An 11,870-nucleotide genomic window follows, 5' to 3' on the forward strand; every position below is an offset into this window, starting at 1 on the left:
GGAGTGTCAGCCATGACTCTTACAATGGGTGAGGGAAGGTATCACACTTTTCTGCTCCTACAATATTAATACCATGAGTAGAACATGTTGTCTGTGAGACATTTAGGAAATATTCATATGAGGATGTTAGGCAAGAATTGGGATTATGGATTTAGAATTGAGGAATGAAGTAAGGAATAAAGAAACTGCAGGGAAAAGAAAAATAAACTTCACCAAGCAATAGTTAATAACATAAGATAAAGTATAAGTTAGTATTTAATTGACCACTTGAACACAATTCTTTCCCTCTTATTTCCAAATTCTATTCCTGTGTAGCAGGAATAGAAGAAAAAGCCAGCATCATTGAGGGTTAATGAATTTGGCCTATAAGGGCTAATAAATATCTACAAACAAACTTTGGAAAGAGTCATTAACAGGACTTTGATTTCCCATTTGCCTTAGTAGCAAATTTAGCAGCACTTTTTAAACTGCCTCATGGATGACTATCTCCATTAGTTTTTTTTTTTAATAAGAAAACAGTAAACACTATGCATGGTAGTGTTGTATCCTCAGTGCTTCTAATATAATTTCTTCATATTTCTAGTATTACATTTATCTCACTGCATTCTAATTATTGTTCTGTCTCCCCTGCTAGACTGGGAGCTTCTTAAAGGTAATGCACCATTTTTATTCATATTTGTATTTCAATTACTTGACACAATATTCAGCACTTAAGCAATTTATGTAATAACTACTGGATGGATTGTAATAACAATAATAGTTAAGGATGCAGATCTAGAGCTAGTTTAGTTGGGATAAATCCTGGCTTTACTGCTTATTTGTTTTGTGACCTTGTGAAATTACTAAACCTCTCTGTGCCCCAGTTTTTTCATCACAATGTGAAATAATAATAAGACCTTTGTCTTGGTCAATTTGGGCTGTTCTAACAAAAATATTATGTACCGACTGGCTTAAACAACAAACATCTGTTTTTCGTAGTTCTGTGGCTGGGAAGTCCAAGATCAAGGTGCCAGCATATTCAGTATATAGTGAGGGCTCTTTTTCTGGTTAGCAGACAGCCTCCTTCTTTCTGTATCCTCATATGGCTGAGAGAAAGAAAGGTCATCTCTCTGGTGTCTCTTCTCATAAGGGCACTAATCCCGTAGTGAAAGCTCCACCCTCATGACCTAATTACCTTCCAGAGGATCCATCTTCAAATATCATCACATTAAAATTAGGGTTTTAGCATTTGAATTTTGAGGACATACAAACATTCAGTCCATAGCAAACCTCCTCAAACAATTGTTGTGATAATTAAATAAATTAATCTATTTAAAGCACTTAGAAGATTGCTAGACATACAGTAAGTGCTCAATACACACATATATGTTATTGAATTATTAAATAGAATAATGCCTCTAGCATTCATTACTGCTGTTCAATTTTGTCTTCATTGTTATTTTATTTTATGTCTTCCTGTGTAATTCCCTTGTGGCAATTTCATAATTGCTATAGCTTTTTTTGTTTGACCCTCCACATCTCATGTTCAAATTTGATCCCCATTGTTGGAGGTAGGGCCTAATGAAAGCTGTTTGGGTCATGGGGGTGGATCCCTCACAAATATCTTGGTACCGTCCTCTGGTAATGAGTGAGTTTTAACTCTATTAGCTCCCATGAGAGCTGGTTGTTAAAAAGAGCCTGGCACCTCCCCCTGCATTCTCTCTTGCTTCCTCTCTCACCATATGATCTCTACACATGCCAGCTCCCCTTTGCCTTCCACCATGAGTGGAGGCAGCTTGAAGCCTTCATCAGAAACAGATGCTGGAGCCATGCTTTCTATACAGCCTGAAGAACCATGAGCCAGTTTATTTATAAATTACCCAGCCTCAGGTATTCCTTTATAGCAACATAAATGAACTAAGACAATAATCTACAAATTCATTTACTTGATTACTGGCAAATTACTCCCATGAGAGTGAGAACGTTTTCTGTGAAGTTCTCTACCCATTCCATGCATAACACAGCATCTACACACAGCAGAGATTAGTAACAGTTTGTTAAAGGAGTAAATTGATCCACTTTTACCTTCTGTAAAGACCAATTTAAATCTTTCTTATATTGCTAACACTGAACCTCCTGGTTCAAAGTTAAAAAAAAGATAAGGCGCAGTAACAACAGAGTTTCAGGAAGATCTGGGAAAGAAAGATTTCCTATTATTTTTTATTTATTTATTTATTTTTGAGACAGATTCTCACTCTGTTGCCCAGGCTACAGTGCAGTGGCATAATCTCGGCTCACTGCAACCTCTGCCTCCCGGATTCAAGCGATTCTTCCACCTCAGCCTCTCGAGTAGCTGGGACTACAGGCACGTGCCACCACACCTGGCTAATTTTTGTATTTTTTAGTAGAGACGGGGTTTCACCATATCGGACAGGCTGGTCTCCTGACCTTATTATCCACCCACCTCAGCCTCCCAAAGTGCTGGGATTACTGACGTGACCCCCTGCACCTGGCCTATTTCCTATTAATTCTAGGACTAACTACCTGAAAATAGGATAATACCTTGCATCACTACATTAATATACTCATTTTTATTGTCCCCTGTTTCTGAGAGTAACAACTTCAAATCTCCTACCTTCTTTCCTGACTTTGACTTCCTATACCGTCAGCTCTTCAGGGCAGTCTTGACATTGGAATAATAATAATAACATCATGTTCTTAGACAAAGACTGATCCACTCTCAGAAATCAGGTTAAAGGTTATTTTATGTGATTCTTTTTTGTTTTAATATGATTTATAAAGAGGGAGAGTCAATGTTGAAGAATCAGCTATTTTAAAATTGATCCCTCTACTGGAGTACTAAAAAGTATTTGTGAAATGAACACGAATAATCTTTATAACATTAAACATTGCAAAACCCAAATGCAAAATAGTCCTATTTAACATAAAGTCTTTCATATTGTTCTGTTCTGCCATCCTTCTATACATTTGCCCAGACAGGACAGCAACAAGGAAAGAATATGTAAACACTAATCATTTCTAACTTGCCATCTGTGACAGTTCACTGTGCTGAAATTAGAAAGGATGGAATCACTTTTCCATTTCCTTAAGGTCACCAAGGACAGACAAGCTCAGGACATACTGTATTTGTCAGAAGAAAAAGAGATGACTGGTGAGGTGGCAGTGACAAATCTGTTCTAGGTTCAGCTCATTTTACTGAAGAATGTGTGTCCCCTTCTGACATTTATCAAAAGAAATTCAATTTTATAAAAAGAAGGATGTCAAATAATAGTACATTGCTAACACTCATTTTGTTGCTGTCAGAAGGGCAGATGGGGGCAAAAAGGGAAAAGGGTGGATGGAAGAGAAAGTTATTCCAGCAAGAAACAAACAAAGTCATGCTAATAATACACTTATAGGCTTGAATATATTTCTGATTAAAACACCTATTTTTGAGATCCATCTTAGTGCCTGGCTCACACTTTAGAATACCAGTTTTCACTTCTTCCAGACAGAAGGAACGACACAAAGCAGGTTGATTTGTGGGTTTTGTGTTTGTTTTTGGTTTTGTATTTTGTTATTGTTTGAGTGCCATTCTGCTGCACCAGGAAGGAAAGAAAGCTAATGAAACCTGGTAAAACCCCAGGTACAATGACATGCACCCTGTGGGCATGCAATCAATAGTTCTTATGGTGATGATGATGTTTTTCTCTGGCAGAAAAGGGTATTTTGGGTCAAAAAATAACCCAAAAGTTGTGACAGAGGTAACGGAAAAATAGAAGTCAGATTAAAATCAAAGGAAGAAATTCTAACCCAAAAGTTGTGACAGAGGTAACGGAAAAATAGAAGTCAGATTAAAATCAAAGGAAGAAATTCTATCAGGAGACTAATAATGAAGCTGACAATATACTGTAACAAGTAATAGTGTTTTACCATACTGCATAAAAATATTGGATTAAGATACAAATTAAATCTCTTTCTCAGTGAGGGTTTTCTGCAGAACATAAACAATTAAGCTGCTTTCTGGAGAAGACAGGAAACTTGATTAACAGATCCAAAAAGACAGCATAGGGAAGATGGGTTTAACACTAGGAGGTGAAACACCAACTGTTATCCAAATTGACTTTTCCAGAAACGTTGGATAATTTCAATCAAGGACTGAAATATACTCTTTTCTTTTTAAGCGTCAGTGTTCTCTGGACTTAAACAAGTCAAAGGAGGTTCTTATTAAATAAATGCTACTGGTGCATATGTTCCAGTCACAGTCTCCTGAGGTGAGTATGGAGACACTACAGAAAATTGAACCATGAAATAGGGTTTTGTGTCTCTATACCAAAATTTCAAATATCTGGAGGTGTCCTAGCTCATGGTGGCTAAGCAGGCAGCTTGTGGGAGTACAGGAGGCTACAGGAGACGCCAGGAGTAAAACGACCTATTCTGAGTCCTGTAGTCTCTGTAAGGTGCCTATTTGATGCAATCTAAGACAGTCTTATTTAGAATAGGGACCCTTAGAAGCTGCTAATATAAGTCAAAGAAACAAATACTTCTGTGCATTTTTCCCCACAAATAAGGGATTGTCCTAAACCTCTAAGCATTAAACCAGGAATCCAGTAAAAACCAGGCTTATTGTACTCCAATCCCCAACTCACGTACTGTCTTAGAGATTTTCAGACACAAGGTGCTAAAAGTTATATAGCATATTTTAAAATTTATCTGTTATCAAGTGCCTTTCATTGAACAAAAAAAAAATCAAATTCAATAGTACATAAACAAGATCTTTCTGCTCCTTCTTGGAAGATTTTTAGGAGAATTAAAGTCATAGAGACAATCATCTACATGCCATTAATATTGTCATCTTCACATATTATTACCAGTATTATTACCAGCACAGCTTTCAAGGTTTGAAATTTTGCATTGGGCTGGCCTTAACATTTGGACAAATCCTTTTTAAATATAGGGAATAAATAATAAATTTAAAAATAAAATACGTTAATATGCAATTTTTTTTTTTTGAGACTGAGTCTCACACTGTCACCTGGGCTGGTGTGCAGTGGCACCATCTTGACTTACTGCAACCTCCGCCTCCCAGGTTCAAGCAATTCTCTTGCCTCAGCCTCCCAAGTAGCTGGATTGCAGGTGCCTGCCACCACGCCCGGCTAATTTTTTGTATTTTTTAGTAGAGATGGGGTTTCACCATGTTGGCCAGGCTAGTCTTGAACCCCTGACCTTGTGATTCTCCTGCCTCGGACTCCCAAAGTGCTAGAATTACAGGCGTGAGACACTGTGACCAGCCAATATGCAAAATTTTAACGCTTTAAATTAGAGGTCAGCAAACTTTTTTCATTAACAGAGAGTAAAATATGTTCTGCTTTCCATTCCATACACTCTCACACAACTAATCAACTCTGCTGTTGCAGTACAAAAGCAGCCATAGACAATACAAAAACAAATAGGGGTGGCTGTGTTCCGATAAAATTTTCTTTACAGGCCTCTGCCTCTGCCTCTGCCTCTGCCTCTGCCTCTCCCTCTCCCCTCTCCCCTCTCCCCTCTCCCCTCTCCCCTCTCCCCTCTCCCTCTCGGTCTCCCTCTCCCTCTCTTTCCACGGTCTCCCTCTGATGCCGAGCCGAAGCTGGACTGTACTGCTGCCATCTCGGCTCACTGCAGCCTCCCTGCCTGATTCTCCTGCCTCAGCCTGCCGAGTGCCTGCGATTGCGGGCGCGCGCCACCACGCCTGACTGGTTTTCGTACTTTTTTGGTGGAGACGGGGTTTCGCTGTGTTGGCCGGGCTGGTCTCCAGCTCCTAGCCGTGGGTGGTCCGCCAGCCTTGGCCTCCCAGGGTGCCGGGATTGCAGACGGAGTCTGGTTCGCTCGGTGCTCGGTGGTGCCCAGGCTGGAGTGCAGTGGCGTGGTCTCGGCTCGCTGCAGCCTCCATCTCCCGGCCGCCTGCCTTGGCCGCCCAGAGTGCCGAGATTGCAGCCTCTGCCCGGCCTCCACCCCGTCTGGGAGGTGGGGAGCGTCTCTGCCTGGCCGCCCATCGTCTGGGACGTGGGGAGCCCCTCTGCCTGGCTGCCCAGTCTGGAGGGTGGGGAGCATCTCTGCCCGGCCGCCATCCCGTCTGGGAGGTGGGGAGCGCCTCTTCCCGGCAGCCATCCCATCTGGGAGGTGGGGAGCGTCTCTGCCCGGCCGCCCATCGTCTGAGATGTGGGGAGCGCCTCTGCCCCGCCGCCCCGTCTGGGATGTGAGGAGCGCCTCTGCCCGGCTGCGACCCCGTCTGGGAGGTGGGGAGCGTCTCTGCCCAGCCGCCCCGTCTGAGAGGTGAGGGGACCCTCCGCCCGGCAGCCGCCCCGTCTGAGAGGTGAGGAGTCCCTCTGCCCGGCAGCCACCCCGTCTGGGAAGTGAGGAGTGTCTCCGCCCGGCAGCCGCCCCGTCCAGGAGGGAGGTGGGGGGTCAGCCCCCCGCCCAGCCAGCCGCCCCATCCGGGAGGGAGGTGGGGGGGTCAGCCCCACGTCCGGGAGGGAGGTGGGGGGGGTCAGCCCCCCGCCCGGCCAGCCGCCCCGTCTGGGAGGGAGGTGGGGTCAGCCCCCCGCCCGGCCAGCCGCCCCGTCCGGGAGGTGAGGGGCGCCTCTGCCCAGCCGCCCCTACTGGGAAGTGAGGAGCCCCTCTGCCGGGCCAGCCACCCCGTCCGGGAGGGAGGTGGGGGGCTCAGCCCCCCGCCCGGCCAGCCGACCAGTCCGGGAGGGAAGTGGGGGGATCAGCACCCCGCCCGGCCAGCCGCCCCGTCCGGGAGGGAGGTGGGGGGGTCAGCCCCCCGCCCGGCCAGCCGCCCCGTCCGGGAGGTGAGGGGCGCCTCTGCCCGGCCACCCCTACTAGGAAGTGAGGAGCCCCTCTGCCCAGCCACCACCTCGTCTGGGAGGTGTACCCAACAGCTCATTGAGAACGGGCCGGGATGACAATGGCGGCTTTGTGGAATAGAAAGGGGGGAAAGGTGGGGAAAAGATTGAGAAATCGGATGGTTGCCGTGTCTGTGTAGAAAGAAGTAGACATGGGAGACTTTTCATTTTGTTCTGTACTAAGATAAATTCTTCTGCCTTGGGATCCTGTTGATCGGTGACCTTACCCCCAACCCTGTGCTCTCTGAAACATGTGCTGTGTCCACTCAGGGTTAAATGGATTAAGGGCGGTGCAAGATGTGCTTTGTTAAACAGATGCTTGAAGGCAGCATGCTCGTTAAGAATCATCACCACTCCCTAATCTCAAGTACCCAGGGACACAAACACTGCGGAAGGCCGCAGGGTCCTCTGCCTAGGAAAACCAGAGACCTTTGTTCACTTGTTTATCTGCCAACCTTCCCTCCACTATTGTCCTATGACCCTGCCAAATCCCCCTCTGCGAGAAACACCCAAGAATGATCAATAAAAAAAATAAAAATTAAAAAAAAAAAGTTAAAAAAAAAAAATTTTCTTTACAATAACAGCATAAAACTTTGGCTTCAGGTCACAGTTTGTTGACCCCTACTTCATATTATCATGTCCCCCCCACCCCCATTTCTTTCATTCACCTTCTATCACAGAGTCACAGCTTTGCACTCACAGTGTAGCCAAGTTGTAGCTACAGACCAAACATTGTAAAGAAATACCTCCGGGGAACTTGAGAATAAGTTAAAACTTGTGCTAAATCATGAGTGAAATATACATTGGGAAACACAGTTAACAACCCATTCCCCAACCTGCTTACTGGGCCATCTTTCTAAAAATGCAAATTTGATCCTGCAGCTCCCTAGCTTAAAAGGCTTCACCTGCAACAGAAAGCCCTGGCTTTTTAGTTTTTCACCATAGGCTTATTTATGGCTGGTCCTGCTTTCTTCCCCTCCTTATTTCTTCTCATCCCTTCCTTCTCACATTCTATGCTTCAGCTACATAGAAGGACTTATAATTTCCAGAATGATACCTGCTCCCTTGCCTTTCAACCCATACACTTATTTTTTTTTTTCTTCTTAGATGGAGTTTCACTCCTGTCGCCCAGGCTGGAGTGCAATGGTGCGATCTCGGCTCACCACAACCTCCATCTCCCATGTTCAAGCAATTGTCCTTCCTCAGCCTCCTGAGTAGCTGGGATTACAGGTACCCGCCACCACACCTGGCTAATTTTTGTAGTTTTAGTAGAGAAGGGGTCTCACTATGTTGGCCAGGCTGGTCTCGAACTCCTGATCTTAGGGAATCTGCCTGCCTTGGCCTCCCAAAGTGCTGGGATTACACGTGTGAGCCACCATGCCCAGCCAACCCATACACTTGTTACTCATTCTCCTTGAAGCACTCTTCTCCACACATCCTTGGCCTTGCCAACTCCTTGAAGGCTGAGCTTAGGTGTCTTAAGGACTTCAACTCCCAGACACTTCTGTATACCTGCGTTATAATATTTTTACTGCTGGCTGTGTGTGGTTGCTCACACCCGTAATCCCAGCACTTCGGGAGGCCAAGGCAAGAGGATTGCTTGAAGCCAGGCATTCAAGACAGCCTGGGCAACATAGTGAGACCCCATCTCTACCAAAAAATTAGAACTTAGCTGGGCATGTGGTACATGCCTGTACTGCCAGCTACTTGGGAGGCTAACATGGTAGAATCGCTTGAACCCAGGATGTCAAGGCTGCAGTGACTCGTGATTGCACCACTGCACTCCAGCCTGGGTGACAGAGCAAGATCTTGTCTAATAATAATAATAATAATATTCTTACCACTATCTACAGATGATTACTGGTGCAGATAAATTTAAAATTCTTCTTGGCCATGTGTGGTGGCTCACACCTGTAATCTCAGCACTTTGGGAGGCCGAGGTGGGCGGATTGCTTGAGCTCAGGAGTTCAAGACTAGCCTGGGCAACATGATTAAACCCTGTCTCTACCAAAAATACAAAAACTTAGCCGGGCATGGTGGCACATGTCTGTGGTCTCAGCTACCTGAGAGGCTGAAGTAGGAGTATTGCTTGAGCCCTGGGTGGTAGTGGGGAGACTGGAGGTTATAGTGAGCTGAGATTGTACTACTGCACTCCTGACTCCAGCCTGGGTGACAGAGTGAGATTTCATCTCAAAAAATATATAAAAAATAAAAAATTTAAAATCCTTGAAAGCTGAAACTGCATTTTCTTGTAAGCACATGATATCCCTCTTAGGGTCCTGCTCCCCCATCCCCTGAGCATGGGAATAAAGAAAAAATCTTGACTCCCTTTAGGGGAAAATTCCAGGCACCCCACTATCCTTGAGAAATAAATAAATAACCCACTAATCAATAAGGTAATAATAAGCTTAAACAATAGCCACCCAAGTAATCTAGAGTCATAAAATGTTTGGTTCCCTATAAAAACTAAAGATAACATCTTGACATATTTCCCTGAGTTGTTTTTCAGAAACCTGTACCCCCACAAGATGGAAAATGCTGACCACTGTCACACAGACCTCAAATAAGGGAGAGCTAAGGACTGAACTCTAATCGTTGTCCCTTGTTCTAAATGTCTTCATGAGGGGCCTGGAGAGGGTCATCATGCCCATAGATCAAACCTTAACATTCCTTTCTTCTGACCCCAAGTTTTTAGACAAAGCATTGCTTCCCTAACCAATTGTAAATCAAATAATCTGTGAACCTCTCTATGACTTGTAAGCCCCCACTTCCAGATATTCTGCCTTTTGAGGCAAAACCAATGTGTAACCTCCATGTATTGAATTACATATGATTTTGCCTGTAACTTCTGCTTTCCTGAAATGTACCCCTTCCTTTAAAGACCCTTGCTTGTAAGCCGTGGGAGAGTTTGGGTCTTAAGTGTTAGCTGCCCAATTCTCCTTGCTTAATGCCATGCCATAAATGCCTCACTTTCTCTCACTGCAAATCTTGGTGTCAATGTTTGCCTTTGCTGCACCAGGTGGGCTGACCAAAGTTGGGTTGGATAACACATGGTATCTGGTACATTGAGAATAATCCCTAATGCTTATTAAATGAAGCCATCAATTATTTAATGTCTTTAATAAGCTTTTGGCCTTTCTACTTCAGAATATAACTTTAGTTATTCCCAGCTATGGGCAATTTATTTTCTTTTGCATATTGTCTATAAATGATACCCAAAGAACTAATAGGAAAAAAAATTATTAGTCAGTTAAACAGGTAATTTAATATCAAACCATAGAGGAGGAAAAATAATTGTCTCTCTACCCTTCAGAGTTCGTAGCTGAGACTCTGAAGGTTAACAGGAGAAAAATAAATAAAAGATGAATAACGTGTGTACCTCCAGTATACATGGAAGGCATACTCAGCGAAATCTGAAAGAGTAAAATCTCCAGGCTAAATCTCAAGAGATCTCAAAAGGGTTGTTTAAACTTCAGGCTTATACCATCCTTTGTTGAAACAAAAAGAGAAGTTTATTGGGAAAGGCTGATTATGGGAGATAGGAAGAGTACAGTATACAAGAACAGTTTGTTATGCAAACTTAAGTCAGTCCCTTCTCCATTGATTAAGAGTATCTTGGATTTAGTCATTCTCTTCCTGGTACTAAGAGAGAGAGAGACACCCTTACAAATAACGATTTTCTTTATAGACATAAATTTCTCTTACAAAAGGGTACCTTCTACTCTAGTTTTCAGAGCTTCTCCTGTGTCTGCTGTTTCCCAAAATAATTCAATTCAAAAAATTCTATGTCAAAGAGGCTTATTTGGGGTGGTGTATTCTGGTCTTTTACAGTCACACTTTGAGATGACGTGTTCTGAACGCCATCAATATAAAAATCTTCTTAACTTGATTTAAAATTTTTTTCAGGTTGAAATTAGACATATAGCTTTATGTTGTCATTATTGTTTTGTTTCTTTAGAGTGTTAACTTAAAAGGAAGAAGCTGAGGAAAATTAATATATGTAGAGAGTTTCTTTGGGCCAAGCTTGCAGATTGCAACACAGGAGCACAGATTGAAGTTGCCCTGAATATAATTCAACAAGCAGTAGTTACAAGTGAAAAAAAGTAGTTAAAGGCAAAAAGGGGAGACACAGAGTGGGCTGATACAAAGTTGCTTGTCAGGAATTCTCATTGTTTCATGGAAATGACGTGGAGTAGTGATTGGCTATACATTTTTGGCTATAGTGTGTGGGTTATAGTGTCTGGTGTGGCATTATTAGCTTAATTTATAGCTACTTGTAGCAATAGCAAGCAGTTTCAAGAGATTAATATATAGCTCAAAGTGGGAAATAGGACATTATTGCAGTCTCATTTTAATGTCTCTTTGGGCCTGGTAAGTACTGTCTTCTTTTTTTTCTTTTTTTTTTTTTTTCTTTTTTGAGACAGGGTCTCACTCTGTCACCCAGACTGGAGTGCAATGGCACCATCTCGGCTCACTGCAACCTCTACCTCCCAGCCTCCCAAGTAGCTGGGACTATAGGCATGCACTACCATACCGTGCTAAATTTTTGTATTTTTTTGTAGAGATGAGGTTTCCCCATGTTGCTCAGGCTGGCCTTGAACTCCTGAGCTCAAGCGATCTGCCTGCCTCAGCCTCCCAAAGTGCTGGGATTACAGGCATGGGCCATCGCACCAGGCCAGGACCTGATAATTAAAAGGCCTCAGATAAAAGTTCTTTTCTCAAGAGACAATCTTAGGACCACTTGCTGCATTATCTATCAGTATTAATAAAGCCACTTTACATTTACCCTATAAGTGGAAATATTTTCTCAACTAATCACTTAACAGCCAGGTTTTATTTGAGAAGCAATTAAACATTTATGGGGTCTACAGAAGATATGAACAAATGCTATATAAAGACATCCCTAATAACAGACTATAGGAAAAAAATTGTGCTTTAATGCATTATCCACATACAGCATGTCACTCTGGGTTACTAGATTTTAGCCTTTCATGATCTTTG

Source organism: Homo sapiens, chromosome 7 (genome assembly GCF_000001405.40).
Source record: "Homo sapiens chromosome 7, GRCh38.p14 Primary Assembly".
Taxonomy (NCBI): domain Eukaryota; kingdom Metazoa; phylum Chordata; class Mammalia; order Primates; family Hominidae; genus Homo; species Homo sapiens.